The sequence below is a fragment of the Homo sapiens genome, chromosome 6, assembly GCF_000001405.40.
Source record: "Homo sapiens chromosome 6, GRCh38.p14 Primary Assembly".
NCBI classification, from domain to species: domain Eukaryota; kingdom Metazoa; phylum Chordata; class Mammalia; order Primates; family Hominidae; genus Homo; species Homo sapiens.
Genome location: NC_000006.12, coordinates 147,034,537 through 147,050,731, shown reverse-complemented (window position 1 = coordinate 147,050,731; position 16,195 = coordinate 147,034,537). Strand labels below are relative to the sequence as shown.

General features: G+C 39.6%; 1 long non-coding RNA gene across 1 annotated transcript in view, besides 1 other annotated feature; it reads left to right on the top strand.

Moving 5' to 3' along the window:
* Nucleotides 1-16,195, top strand: part of STXBP5-AS1 (STXBP5 antisense RNA 1) — a 363,227-nt gene that overhangs the window by 153,883 nt on the left and 193,149 nt on the right. The window lies entirely within an intron of this gene.
* Nucleotides 5,506-6,705: an enhancer, noted in NCBI's record as "MED14-independent group 3 enhancer chr6:147365163-147366362 (GRCh37/hg19 assembly coordinates)". NCBI's record gives its function as "activates an origin of replication core promoter dependent on BRD2, BRD4, P300/CBP and CDK7 cofactors, and independent of MED14, by STARR-seq in HCT116 cells {active_cell/tissue: HCT116}" and the evidence as "EXISTENCE:reporter gene assay evidence [ECO:0000049][PMID:35650434]".

The following is a 16,195-nucleotide window of genomic DNA, read 5'->3' as shown; positions in this document are numbered from 1 at the left end:
AAAATTGAGAGATGACAATTGGAATTTTCAAATAGAATGAAATATTTATAGGTCTTAAACATTTTAAACTGATTTAGAAAACTGGAAACATTACTAAATCAAATTTAGGTTTGCAAGCTATTGAGTTGTGTCCCATACTTAATTTTAAAACATTTTCTTGGCTGGGGGCGGTGGCTCACACCTGTAATCCCAGCACTTTGAGAGGCTGAGGCAGGCAGATCACCTGAGGTCAGGAGTTTGAGACCAGCCTGGCCAACATGGCGAAACCCCATCTCTACTAAAAATACAAAAATTAGCCAGGTGTGGTGGCATGCACCTGTAATCCCAGCTACTCGGGAGGCTGAGGCAGGAGAATCATTTGAACCCTGGAGGCGGAGGTTACAGTGAACTGAGATTGCACCATTGCACTCCAGCCTGGGCAAAAAGAGTGAGACTCTGTCTCAAAAAAAAAAATTATTTTCTCCATTTCCATTTGTCCAAATGATACATTCAGTATAAGTCAGCCGTATAATTTCATTCACAGAATAAAAGTATCATAGACCGGCATAAAATTGTGTATCTAGTGTGACCATCATCTCTATGACTTTTTCACTCATTCTAAGCCTTCAAGAAGGAGAAACTTCTCCTTCAGTGGATCCCAGGATATCATTGGAAAGCTTGGACTATGTAAAAGATCCTGAATTGAGTTGAAATTTGTCTTCCTGTAGTTTCCATTTATTTATGCCAATTGGTAACTTAGAAATACAAACAAAATAGGATAAGCCCGTTCGTAATACAGCTATGAAAAGTTTGAAGCTTTCTATCACGTCAAACCAATCTCCATTTGCCTCTTCTGCATGTTTCCTCTTCTCCAGGCTGAGCATCTGCATTTCATTCTTCCTTCCTTTGTCCGGTATGACTTGAAGTTCTGTCATTGACTAAAAAATATCCAATATGCCCATATTCTTGTTGGTGATCACTTAAATGATCTTTTTTGTCCCTTTAAACAAATCCTAAGGTGACCTAGGAATGCCTCACTGAGGAGATAAGTCTTAAGTAAAGACTTAGGAACATGAAGGAATGAGTTTGTGGATATTTGGAGAAAGAGAGTTCCAGGCAGACGAAAGAGCAAGTTCAAAGGCCTTGAGGTGGGGCAAGGCTGGTATGTTAAGAAAATGAAAACAAAATAGTAAGGAGGCTAGTGTGGTGGAAAAGGAAAAGCTAGAGCAGAATTAGGAGATGAAGTCACAGTGGGGTTAGATCATTAAGAACTTTGGCTATGAACCTGAGAGCAATGAGGAACTGTTGGAACATTTGGAGCAGAGGAGTGACTTGATATTGCTTTTAGCAGAAACACTCCGGTTGCTAGTGCTGGTGTTGATTAGATAGAAAGTGAAGCAGGAGGACCAGTTAGGAGACTACCACAACAATGTAGGCAAGACATGATGGTGGCATGTGGACTGGCATAGCAGTGGAATCTGTGAGAAACAGTTGAATTCTGGATATAATTTGAAGCTAGAGCTGATAAGATTTGCTAGTGAATCAGAAGTGGGTTGTGAAGGAAAAAAGTGGTGTCAAGGATAACTGCAAGACTTTCAGCCTGAGTCACCATTTACTGAGCTGAGAAGAGTGGGTATAGGGAGTGAGGAGCAGGTTGATGGGGGATGATAAGGAGTTCAGCTTTGGATCTATCAAGTTCGAGCTGCCCATCGCCACATGAGTGGAGGTCTGGGTTGGAGATAAACTTGTGAGAATTATCCGCACAGAGATGGGATTTAAATAGAGGTGCTTGAAGGTTATCACCAAAAGGGAGAGAGTTATGTAAGAGAAGAGAAGATAGTCGTGAGGGCTCCTAGGTAGTTGACCCACACAGAACTGGGCAGACTGCTTCCTCTCCTCCTACGTGTCCACTTGGACTAAAGCCCCTTAAGATCACTTTAGTCTTCTGGCAGCTCTACCATAGTGTGGACTTGTACTGAGCTTTCTGTTTCTGACTTTCCCAGCCTACCCTCTGAGTCTTTTTCCTGCGTGCTACTCCTAACCTGCATCCTCCTCCATCCCTCCACCTCCGGGTTATATCCACTGTGCAGAGGCTGATGGACCCCCACTAAAATTCAGTTTGGATGTCAAGACTGATAATGCTATACTCCAACACCAAGGGTATGAAAAGGTTTATTACTTACAAAATAGAAGTCTCAGAAATCAGGATGGGCTTCTCAAGGAAAGGATACTGGCTCCATATTTATATTGTGGAAGGAGGTTGGAGCTGGGTCAAGGTACCCACGTGTGGGGAAGGGCTTGTGTGGTTTGTATCTCCTGCAGGAGCCAAAGAAGGAAACACCCAGGCTGTTGTAAAAGCTTTCCCAGAGGTGGGGCAAAAGGGAAAGAATGAGGAGTGAGGATTAAAGTATGGCAGTAGTCAAATATCAAAAAATGGTGTTAGATACATTATTATATCGTGCTTTTGTGTCATTAATATTCTGGACTTGAGTTCAGGGATCACCCATTTATCCTTATTCAACTCACTCTTGTCAAATGTAGCCCATTAACCGAAGCTCCTAACATCCCCTTGGATCCGATTCTGTGAAAGAGTATTTTTGCAATACTACCAAGCCATTTATCATTGGAAAATGTAATGATGACAACCTCAACATTTTTAATGATTGATTTTAAAACGTTGAATATGACAAAGCTAAGAAGAAAGCACTGCGGCACCCCACTCAACTATTTCCTCCAGGTTGACATAATCCAGTAGCTACCCTTTGAATGTAGCCAATCACTAATTTGCTACATTAAACTGGCATCCAAACCTTATTATTCCAGAGTGTCTCAAAGAAGGTTATTGTATTAGTCTGTTCTTGTGTAGCTATAAAGAAATACTTGAGGTTGGGTAACCTATAAAGAAAAGAGTTCTAATTGGCCCATGGTTCTGCAAACTGTATGGGAAGCATGGTGCTAGCCATGGCTTGGCTTCTGGGGAGCACTTGGGGAGCTCTTACTCATGACAGAAGGTGACAGGGAGCCGGCATGTCACATAGCGAGAGCTGGAGCAAGGGGGAGGGAGGTGCCACACATTTTTAAACAACCAGATCTCACATGAACTCACTCATCACCAAGGGGATGGTGCTGAGCCATTCAAGAGGGGTCCGCCCCCATGATGCAAACACCTCCCACTAGGCCTCACCTCCAACACTGGGAATTACAGTTTAACATGAGATTTTGAGGGGACAAATACCCACACCAGATCAGTCATAAAAAACAATGTTAATTCTCTTGCATAAATCTAGATGATTTACCAGATTAATAATAGTATCAAAGGAAGAAACTTGGTTATGTTTGCTTTGTGATTAGCTACTTGGAATGCTGTTGGGAATCCATCACAAATATACCTCCCTGAAGCTTTTTGAATTCAGTTTCATCCATTTTTGGTCTCCTAATGCTGCTCTTAGTTCCCAGAGATCTCAATGGCAAACTATTTTATACTGTGTTTATAATTCATCATTATAAGGAGATATGAGTTCATTTAGAACTTATAGGTGCTGTCCAATAGTCTTTACCCTCATTGGGGTTCAATTTCTTCCTAATAATGTTCAGCTGGGGTTTTGGAGGTTGAACACCATTATCTTTATATCACCATTATGTCATTAATTCAAAGTCACAGGCCTTCTTTTGCTCCATAAGTTATTTTGGTATTTTTAATCCTCCCTCCTCCTAATCTCATCTCATTTGGGACTCTAGTGACTCTGACGTGAATCTAACTTGCCCTACCATTTTCATCCTCATCATTCATTTTTTCCTTCACTCACTTAACAATACTTTCTATTTGCTATGTTCCTAGCACTGTATTACCAAGATGATGAATACAAAATACATGAATACTTTTCAATTGTATTTTTCTTTAAAAAATATCTGAAGCTACATTTTTGTTTAGTTTTCTTTCCCCTTTCCTCCTCATTTTATCATTTAGCAATTGCTCTCAAAATTGTATTTTTGAGAACATCATAACACTTTTGAGTCATAATCTCCTTAGGAGTCTCATGCCATGAATAATGCATATCTTTTCTCTAAACATTTTGCAGACATTCATCTAGTCTAGGGTGTACAACTCGTGATGTCCAGTTTTCTTTTCCTTGGAAAAGTCAAAATTCAAGATAGCATGGTCACTTTCTTTTAGATTTCACATTACTTTCACTTCATCAATAAGTTCCCCTTGTTGTCAGAGCTAGGTCCAAAGTGGTTGTTTCCTCTGGCTATTTCCTTGTCGTTTTAGAGATTAAATTGTCATTAATGATATTCAAGAACCTTTTACATAGTTGGCTTTTAGCTAGATAAGTCTTTTTGTCTATTCATGGCTGGTTGATATCTTGGCTCACTGCTGATGAGAACAGGAACCTTGCCTGTCTTGTTCACCACTAATTCCTGCATCGTGGTGGGGCCATATGGCCAGTGATGTTATTACTTACTGCTTTCTAGTGTGCTCTGCCTTTGGGAAATGGAGATGTCTATGCAGCATTAATCTTTTTAACCTTTAACACTAGTCTGCTTCTCCACTTAAAAAATCTGTTTCTTTTGAATAAGACAAATCCTTCCCTTACCGTGTTCTAATGTAGAGGGCAATCACATCACATTTCAGAGATTCATTGTTTCATATTTTTATTGATTTAACAAATATTTATTGAGTGCCTACATTAGAATAACAGTTACATTAAAAGCTGTTGTGATTGAACATCAACTGTGTGTCAGGCACTTTCTAGGGCATTTTACATAAAGTAACTAACTTGATCTTTACAGTCCAACTGGGATGCAGAGATATTGAGAGAATTTTCCAAGGTTAACATTTTAAGTGGAGGAATGCGGCAGTATTCTCGGCACTGGTGATCGAGCAATGGACAACATGGGCAAGATTCCTCTTCTAAGGGAGTTTACATTTCAGTGAGGAAAGTAAATGGTAAATGAATTTTAAAATGATACTTTGACAGAATATGTGCTATGAAAAGAAAACCATGAGGATTTGCTAGAGAGAAAGTGCAGAAGAAAATACCTTTTATCAGATGGCCAGGGAAGGCCTCTCTGCAGAAGCAACAGTTTAGCTATGGTTCCACCAGAATGTTTTCGGTGGCATGTAACAGAAAACTGAACACACAATAGTTTAAATAATAGGGGAATTGTTATCTTACATAAAAAATGCCTTAAGCCAGGCATGGTGGTGCGTGCCTGTAGTCCCGTCTACTTTAGAGGCTGAGGTGGGACGATGGCTTGAGCCTAGGAGTTTGAGGCCAGTCTGGGCAACAAAGACAGACCCCATTTCTTAAGAAAACAAAAGATGTCTTAAGGTAGAAGGGCTCTGGGAATAGTTCAGAGGGTAAAGGTGTAAGGAAATATTTGTTCTTACATGCCTATCTCAGCATGTGGACTGGCTGCAACCTTGCTCAAAAGATGGAATGACACTTCTAGACATTCTGTCCTCATCCACATTAGGCAAAGTTCATTGGCAAAAAGAAACAGTTTCTTCCACAGGTCTCTTTTTTTACCAGCAAAAAAAATTGTATTAGTCTGTTTTTCATGCTGCTGATAAAGACATACCTGAGACTGGGTAATTTATAAAGAAAAAGAGGTTTAATGGATTCAGAGCTCCATGTGGCTGGGGAGGCCTCACAATCATGGTGGAAGGTGAAAAGCATGTCTTCCATGGCATCAAGCAAAGAGAGAATAAGAGCCAAGCAAAAGGGGTTTCCCCTTATAAAACAATCAGCTATCTTGAGATTTACTCTCTACCATGAGAACAGTATGGAGGAAACCATCCCCATGATTCAATTGTCTCCCACGGAGTCCCTCCCACAACATGTGGAATTATGGGAGCTACAATTCAAGATGAAATTCGGGTAGGGACACAGACAAACCATATCAGAAATCTTTGTTCCCAGCAGACTTCATATTATACCATATTGGCCAAAATTCTATTACTTGCATGGGGAATGATGTTACCATGACTGGTGCAGAGTCTAAGTTTTAGTTAGCCTGATTGAGAGTCAGTCACTGGAGCTTGGGTTTGCATCACTTTTCCTAAGTACAAGAACAAACAGAGAAGGGTAAACAATTAAAAAATTAGGTACACAAAAGGGGATAGATTGGTGTACAAAATGAAGTAGAGGTTCATTCCTCTTCTAAGGAACTTATTGAGAATAGATAGTAACCTCTCTTAGAAGCAAAATTTACTCAAAGATCTGTGCTAATATTCTTAAATATCTGCTAGCCATAATTAAGAAATCAATACACTCCGTGCTCTTAGCTCCCACATTTTAGCCTAGATATTTGTCCCAGCATGCCTGAACATGTCCAAGCAAGCATTAGGTCATAGCTTATTCCTCTTTCCTTATTTGGAAGTGTTTTTGACTCTCTCACCATTCCACAAGTTACTTCCTCTTTTCCTTTGTTCTCCTCTGCCTTTGCCTCTTTTAGGAAGTTTTACATTGCTAGTCAATCAGGACAAGTACAGAATGTGAGGTCTTGTTCCAGCCAATGGAAACCGGACACAGCAGTAGGGTGGATGCGTCACGTTATAAATGACCCTGTCTCCTTTGTTCGTGTGTGCTCTTGTGACAAGATTGCTAGTGAGTGACACCCTTTCTGCAGAAAGTAAACTAGCCTTGCTGAGAGATCCTTTGTTTCAGTGTTGATTTTTCTGAGAACCTGTCCCCAATAATTGGGATAGGCAATTGCTAGTGCCTGTAATAAGCCTCATCCTGAGAAATGAGAAGGTATCCACCATATGAGGATCTGGGGGAAGAATTTTCAGAGAAGTAAACAACAGGTACAAGTCCTTGAGAGCAGGAATTAGCTTAATACATTCAAGGAACAGAAAGAGGAGTGTTTGTCACATAGTCACCTGGGATCACAGGAAGCAGGAAACGGGAAGAGGTGAGAAGTGAAACGGTGTAGTGTTTGAATGTGGGCTTAGGAGCTATAGTTTCTGGGTTCAAATAACAGACCTGCAGACCTGTGTTTATTATTTATTTGTCATTGCACAAATTATCTAAGTTAGCTGTGTCTCAGTTTCCGCATCATTAAAACACGTATAAATAATTATAAACTCATGAAATGGTTGAAAGATAAGAAAATAAACAATTAGAACAGGGCATAGAATATTGTAGGTGCTCAATAAATGTTAGCTATCATTATTGTATCACTGGTTCAGGGTTCAGATCACATAGGATCTTGGAGGCCATAGGACAATGGTGTCAATTTTATTTAAATTAAACCATAAAGCCATTGAAGTGTTTTATGCAGGCAGTGATCTAATATGATTTAGAATTTTACAGAATAGTTTTCTTTTTCCTGCTATGTATAGATTAGAGTATAGGGAAGTGGGTAAAGAGTAGATGCAGGATAGTTAGTAGGATTTTACAGTAAACTAGGTCAGGGGGGTTTGACTAGGGTGAAAGCACTGGGGAGGGCCAACAGAACTTAACAGCTTACACTTGAGCTTGTGGTTTAGGGAAATAAGGAATTCTGAATGTTTGACATGAAGAACTGGAAAAATCATGATGCCCTTTATAGAGATAGGGAAGGGCCCCATAGGATTCATAAAGCTGCCAAAGGGGTCTACGGAACAAAAATGTTAAGAGCCCTGCTTTAAAATCCTTTGTCCATGAATCCACTCTTCCACATTTCTTTAGAGTTTTTCTTTTATCCTTCCTGTCTTCTTGATAACTCACTTTCTCCCAATGTACACACTTGATCTGATGATACATAAAACAATCTGTGAAGATGATTTAGGTCAAGCTGGTTTACCATACAGCCGAAGTGAGAACACAATGAATTTAGCACTAGCTTGTTGAATATGTCCCAGAGCTTTCAAAGCCCAGCTGTTCAAGTTCAGTAAATGACTCTCATGAAAAGTGATTGGTAGTTATGTTCATTTTTATTTCTCCTACCCTTTCCTTCCAGCTGCTAAAGCCTAATTTTTACTGTAGGTCAAAATAATTTTAATTTCTTTCATTCTCAAAGTCAAGTTAAAAGCAGATAGAATAGCCATCTCGGTTTAGCCTGATTGCATTCCATTGACATAGTCCAGATGGCCTTCAGTGATGGGTAGATATATGCCTCTCTCCTACCTGTCTCTCAAAGTGTCCTGTGAGGATACAGTCTATGTAGACATCCATCTTTGCATACCACATGGACTTTTTTTTCCACATGTTTTACTGAATATCAACATTTAATAAGGGAGTTCATAAAGTTCCTGCAAATAACTCAAACCTTATTGCATTTTGATGGCAACAACAAAAACAAAAGCTTATAAACTGTACTTTTTTACTGGCAAGGTCCACTCTCATGTTTGTGTGGTTCTGCAAGTACTATAACTCAGAGGATAAGTTTTTTGCTATACCTAAAGATGATATCATTGACATGCCACTAGTATTTGGGCACATAAATTATCTTTCCAGTAGTGATGATGAAGTGAGCTTTGAACTACCTCTTTCCACTTTTCTTCCTTATGGTAAAAATCACTATATCGTTCAGGACACTTTTTGTTGCAAATTATAGAAACCCAACTTGAGCTAGTTTTGGCAGAAAATCTAGGCATAAAGATCAAAGGAAGAGTTAAAGACATTTTTACAAGGCAAGGAACAGAGCAGTTTTGGGAGTCTCGGGAGCGAACAGGCACTGATGTTTGAACACTGCCTAGGTTCCTTTTCTTTCCATCTCTATCTCTCATCTTTTTTTTTTCTCTCTCTCTGAGCAGAACACCTTCTTCCACTGACAGCTTTGAGGCTGTATCTTTCCAGCTTTAGTATCAGAAAGGAAAGGAGTCTATGTCTCAGCTCCAAATGGAAAAATCCTAAAAAAGAACACTGATTGGTGATGTTAGGACAGAAGCCCAACAGCCATCAAATCATTGCAACAAGAAAATGAAGGGTACATCGTAAGATAGCAGCCCTCAGATCATGACTTTAGATGAGTAAAGGGGTAGCTCCCCAAGAGAGTGGGGGATGCTGTTCTCAGAAGAGAACCCTACTCAACAAAAACAAAACAATTTTTAAAATGGCAAGTGTTTACTAAAAGAACCCATTTGCAAGATGGCTGGAAGGAATTGGCGTTCAACTCAGCAACTAGGGAATAGATTTACTGGTTCGGGAGAGGTACATGCCTCTCCTTAGTTTTCAGTCTCAACAGTTAAACTCGCTGGATAATTTTCTCAATATACTTAGCTATCTAATTCAAGATCAGCACTTTTCCAGCAATCATATCTTATTGAATTGTTTTGCTTTCTTTATGTCTCTGTTTTAATTTAAAGAATTTTTTTTGTTGTTTTTTTCTTTTATTCATTACCTGTCATGTGGTCCAGGGAATTTCCTCTTCAAGAAGCCGTCTGGTATATGATGAACCTGAACTGCTTTGGGGATTAATCAGTATTTTCTATATATACCAATAACTGGTTTATAGATGAGCAGAATTGTTTGGACTAGATAATAACACATATCTGGAAGAAATTTTATTTATAGCTGGCATAATCCCTACATTTTACCAACCAAGTCAGATTCAGAGAAGGTAAATGATTTGCCCAAGGTCACACCTCTCATTATGAAAAAAGCCAGCACTAAAACCCCAGGATGGCCTGACTTCTCTAGTTTTTTATCTTTTCCATTACATAAGGCTTAGTGAAGAAAAGTGAATATAAATTCGACAAGAATGCACATGAATATAAGGTTGGGTCATCCCAGTTCATGTTGATGAATACCTGCTGCCATTAGGACTTCGAACATCAAGGGCAAACAGGAGGTACCTTGTACAGAGAGAAGCTTTCCTCTCTCGTGTGTGCAGGACCTTCAGTGTTGGGAATATTATGGGCAGCATAAAAGAACTTGCAGAGGAGATAGATTCTGTCTCTCTTCTTTTGACCCATGTCCAGCCAGGTTCTACTCACCATGTATCTCTCCAAGCAGCCTCTCCTTTGCTTTGCCACTGATGCAGCAGCTCCTTATTTTCCCTGCTTCCCAAACAGACTCCTTCCAACCCATCATCACCATAGTGATCTGTCTAAAATGCAAATTGGATCGCATCAGGCTCCAGCTTAAAATAGTTCAATGCCTACCCCTTCCTTCAACCAGACAGGATAAAATTCATTCTCCTTGCACCATCATTCCTCTCTGCCTCTATTCTCAATTCCTGCCAAACCTTGTGTCTGATTTGTTAAGATTCTGTACAGACCTACTAGTTAGAACTCCTAGAAATTAGGGCCATGGAACCTTATTCATCTTGACGTATCTAGTAATGCCCAAGTATTTATTGAACTGGATTTCTTTTGAACCAGACTAGGTCTGAAAATCAAACAAAACTATTTGCTGAATAAGTTAATGTTTTTCTGACAAAACCACAACTATAAATAATTGCTCTTATATATTACTTTTTGGTCTTCTGAAACTAAATTCATTGCTATTATAATACTATAAGCAGCTGATGAAATAAATGGAATTTGAATTTTGCAATCTGATTTGCAGCTTGAGGGAATATTATGAAACTTAATGCAAGGCTAAATCCTGACTAAATATGGGGAAGGAATTTTTCTTTCTTATGTGGTTTTTGATACTCTGGGACTATTTAAGTTTTTTGCTCTTTTGAATCTCTTTTCATGCACTTCTGCTGCAATTTTATTTTTGAAAAAGAGTGAATGGAATTTTAAAAAGAGCAGTTGCTACTAAGAGCAGAAGACTGTAAGCCCTGATATACACAGAAATCAAACCATGCTGGAAGAAAGATGTAATTCTGTGAGGGCTATCTGGATTGCAATTCACTGATTCCAGTGTCTGTGGACCTCCCTCAAGGTGGGAAGACCTGCTACCCTGGTCAGCTGTCAATAAGAAAGTTAAAGCTGAGGATGCGCTTTCCATTGAAAGAGTGAAGATTATTTCTGAGATTGTTAGCGAATATGTTTTTTAAGATATATGTGAAATAGGAGAAATATTTGTATAACTTTACTAACCTCAGGTCTCCTTTAAAATAGTGTCATTAAAGATGACTGAGGCCGGGAGCAGTTGCTCATGCCTGTAATCCCAGCACTTTGGGAGACCAAAGAGGGCGGATCACTAGGTCAGGAGATCGAGACCATCCTGGCTAACACAGTGAAACCCCGTGTCTACTACAAATACAAAAATTAGCCAGGCGTGGTGGCGGGCGCCTGTAGTCCCAGCTACGCTGGAGGCTGAGGCAGGAGAATGGGGTGAACCTGGGGGGCGGAGCTTGCAGTGAGCAGAGATCACACCACTGCACTTCAGCCTGGGAGACAGAGCGAGACTCCGTCTCAAAAAAAAAAAAAAAGAAAAAAATGCCTCTGAATGGTATTATGTAGGGACATTAAGGAGCCTAGAGAAACGTGGGCCTGATTAAGTGGCGCTAACTCAGTTAGAGGAAGGTTGAATTCAGAGAAGTTCAGCCGTAGTCGAAATTGCTGTGTCTTCAGGGGTAATATTTTTGTATGATCAAAATAAAGAGTGGGGATAAACTTGGAAGATAGGGGGAAAGTTTTGACTGTGGATATAACTGGGCATCAACTTCAAAGCATCAGTTATTAGCTTTTCCATAGCAAGACAGATTTTGTATTCTGTCATTCTGATACTAATTGCATTGGTCTAGATTCTTTTTGGAACTGAGTGGGGCTGAGAGCTGTCATGGTCAAGCATCAGTGACTCTGGAGTAGGTAGGAAGCAGAGACCAATATCCTCATTTCCAATTCCTTGGCCTTCTCTCTGTCCCCATTCCCTGGACCACGTTTGGTACACAGAGGCATGTTATAGACATTTATTACATAAATCATATCTTACCCTTTTCGTCATATATGTAGTTTAGAAAACAGATGGAGCTTGTTGTTTCAAAGAGATACTTTCTGAGACATTCTTTTTTTTAATTTTTTGAGACAGAGTCTTGCTCTGTCACCCATGCTGGAGTGCAGTGGCGCGATCTTGGCTCACTACAACCTCTGCCTCCCAGGTTCAAGCGATTCTCCCGCCTCAGCCTCCTGAGTAGCTGGGATTACAGGCATGCACCACCACGCCCAGCTAATTTTTTGTATTTGTAGTAGAGACGGGGTTTCACCATGTTAGCCAGGCTGCTCTTAAACTCCTGACCTCGTGATCAACCCACCTCAGCCTCCCAAAGTGCTGGGATTACAGGCATGAGCCACTGTGCCAAAGACATCTTCTCTGCCTCACCACTGACCTGTGTGACTTTAATGTCTCCTGGTTATAAGCATTTATTTCCACAACCAACTTATTTTCCTTTGTCTAGATATCTTCTGTTCTGATGGCTCCCACACACATCAAGGCTGGTCGTATCCAGTCAACAGCTCCATCCCTAAATGTTCCCCACAGACACATGCCATATCTCAACCAGTCTGGTGTAATTTTCATTCGACTCTCCTCTTCTTGTCCCATTCTCTACATCCCTGGACCCTGTTTCTATTTGGCTTCATGATTCTTTTCAAGGATCCAGGCTTAAAAACCTTGGAATCTTTATTTTTATTTTTTAACTCAGCAGAGGCTTACATTTCCCCATATCCAGTGAGTTAATATGACCTGCCCATCTTCCTTCAGACTCTTTCTTATGATTACTTCTTCCTTTTTACTCCTCTGCAATCACCCCCGCCCAAACCCTCTTTGCCTCATATGTAGATTATCACAGCCTCCCACAAACTTCTCCTGTCTGCAGTCTTTGCCATCCACAAATCACCTGGCATTTTGATGTAGACAAATTTTCCCTACAGAGATTTTCTCAAGTTACCAGCTTGCTGACTTGTATGCAATTTTAGGTTGTGCTATTTTGCAAAGTGCTTTGCAAACCAGTGATCCATTGTTCCTGAAAATGTGTAAAGCTCGATCCTTTTCTCATGACTTGGTTTATGATGGAGCTCTTGCCTCGAAAGTCTTGCCTTTTTCTCTGCTACCTGTCAGGGGTTAGTTATAACATCTCTTACCACTTAGTTAACTTTTTCTTTTTTTGGGGTGTAAGGAGGTCTCACTATGGTACCCAGGCTAGAGTGCAGAGGCTATTCACTGGGACCATCATTGTGCAATGCAGCTCCAAACTCTTAAAAGGAGGCTTAAGCCTCCTCTTGCCTCAAACTCCTGAGTAGCTGGGACTCCAGGCATGCATCACCACCCCGGTTTCCTTTAGTGAACTTTTTTGGTAACTCTTTCAGTCTTCACTGAACTCATCCTTGGCTAATCTTCAGCTTGTAGAAGCTGTGTTATTTTGTATGGTTTCCTTTTATTTCATCTATAATAATATTATGTTGTCAGATATGTTATAAGTTCATTGATGTTAGAGACCTTGCCTCACATGTCACTGGTGGTCACTTTGGTACAAGTCTAAGTATGCACAACATTCTGTGAGCTTAATAAATATAACTTTTGCTTAAAAATATGCTGTTAGTACAATTTAGTCTCTTGTTTCTAATTGCCAAACACCAGCTATTTTAAATCTCAAAAAGATAGTCAATGTTGTTTGCAGCTGTTTTGTGGTCCTTATGTTCTAGAATCTTTTGGTCAGGCTTCCCAAAGGATAATGGCTAAAGAAAGAAGAGGTTCCCTCTGTATTTTAATAAAGAATGCTGCAAGCATGCAGAGCTAATGTTAACTCCATAACGTACTTTATAGAGAAAATTTTAGTAGGAATGATTCAACATCCAGTGTTTTTATAGTCGTCACTTTTATTCTTTTATTTCTGTAGTTGAAAATGAGTGAACTCTACTTACTACTCTCATATCCAGTGATTTCAATGCTCGTCTTTGATCACTTAGTAGTAGCAGTTAATGGTAAATAATAGTAATAGTAAAAGTAGTAGATGTTAACAGTATAAGTAAAAATAGCAGTAATATCTGCCATTTATGACTGTGATCCAAGCAGTGTGCTAGCTATGATACGTAGATGATTTCATTTACCCTTTTAGAACCCTATGAAGTGTTTTTGTTCACCATTATAACGCAGGAAACTTACTCAAAGAAGATAATAAATTGCCTGGAGACTACAGATATCTGTAGACCCGGACCCAGGCTCAAATCTGTCTAATTTCAAAGCCAGAGTTTAGAGTAATATTACTTAGCGAAATCAGTGGGAAAAATTTATTATAGACTTTAAAAAATAAACTATAGGCTTTTACTTACATTTTGTAGGTGCCTTCTTGTATGCTGTGATTATACACTATTAGTTGTATCCTGAGTTTTTAAAGGTGCTAATGTGTGGTCTACACAATCTTGGAGACTGCATTTGAGCAATTCAGAGATCCTGTATAGGATAATCAACTCTTAAACCCCACTAACCTTTCATCAGACATTCAAGCTTGAGTTCTTCAGATATTTCTATTCACGTAAGCGGGAAATGTGATATTGCAGAATTCACCTTAATTTTGACTTTTCCAATTTTAAATAACAAGTTTATTAAAAAAAAATTATATGAAATTCCTGGGCATTCATGATATAAATAATTTACTAGTTTTTTTTGAGTCCATTAAAGACTGAGACTGTGGAACTCAAGCTATCTCCCCGAGTTAATCCTAGTAGGAAAGTTATCATTCTTCATTTATTTAGGATTTCTGTCGGCACATGTTCTTCATGGTGCAGCTGCTGTGTATGTTGAAGATGTAATGTGTGAAGCTGGTCTGTAGTTGAACCAGTTGCTGTCTGGCAAGTCTTATTTGTGGTTCATTTCATAGTCCTATGTGATGTGTGCATGATTTGTTCTTGGCACTGACTCAGAAAATGAAAACCAGAAACATTTAACATATAAATAAAGAAGTGTTTTACACTGGTCTTTTGGAAGTGTTAAGATATTTAGCTATTTCAGTAGTATATGCAGTTTATTTTTTTTCATCAGGTAACACTGGTTAAGAGTTAATAGGAGTGTAGAAATAGTGTTCTCTGACTTCACATTGTAAGCCAAAAATAAAATTCTAAGCCCCCAACTGACTGAATAGACCCCTCTCTAGGCCAACAGGCTTCCAAAGAAACCAGAAAAATGAGTCCAGGCCGTGATAGGAAGGGGGTAGGTACGTCAGACAGGCCTCATTATGCCCTCTCTCTCTTGGAGTTTAGACAGGACTGACCAGTATTAACATTAAAATAGAGATCCTAAGACTGACAGAACAGAGTCCTCTAGCAATAAGATAACAAATTCCAACTTGACTCTAGTATAACATCACATGACAGGTAAAGAAAGAAATAAAAATATTTTACCCCCAAATATGTTTCCCTGACATATTTTGAAATGGCCCTGCAAAGCTGTCTCTTGCGGTAGAAATCTGCATTCTCTGGAGCACCTCTTTCCCTTACTGGGTCTTTTCTGGAGTGTCTGGCACCTCTTAAAAGTCTAAATAGAAAATATTTGCCATCTATTGTCTCTAAAGGCAGCCACACATGAGACTTAATCTATATAATAAGATCCTTGGTCTCCACAACACCTTATTTTAACTCATACACTCATGTTTACTGATTCCAAGTCTTTAGATAATAAGTTAACTCTTTCAACAGATTGCCAACCAGAAAAACTTGAAATCCACCTATGATCTGAAAGACATCCCCTACCCACACCCTACTTAGAGATATCCTGCCTTTCTAGGACAAACCCATGTTTACTTCACATGTATTGATTGATGTCTTATGTCTCCCTAAAACGTATAAAACCAAGCTGTAACCCAACTACCTTGGGCACATGTTCTCAGGACCTCCTGAGGCTGTGTCATGGGTTATGGTGTTATCAGAAAGGGGTCCCGATCCAGACTCCAAGAGAAGGTTCTTGGATCTCATGCAAGAAAGAATTCAGGGAGAGTCTGTAAAGTAAAAGCAAGTTTATTAGGAAACTAAAGGAATGAAAGAATGGCGACTCCTTAGACAGAGCAGCGTCCAGGGCTGCTGGTTGCCCATTTTTATGGTTATTTCTTGGTTATATGCTAAACAAGAGGTGGATCATTCATGCCTCTCTTTTTTAGACTGTATAGGGTAACTTCCTGATGTTGCCATGGCATTTGTAAACTGTCATGGCGCTGGTGGGAGTACAGTAGTGAGGATGAGCAGAGGTCCCTATCGTCACCATCTTGGTTTTGGTAGGTTTTAGCCGGCTTTTTTACTGCAACTGGTTTTATTAGCAGTGTCTTTATGACCTGTGTCTTGTGCCGACCTCCTATCTCATCCTGTGCCTAAAAATGCCTTAACCATTTGGGAATGCAGCCC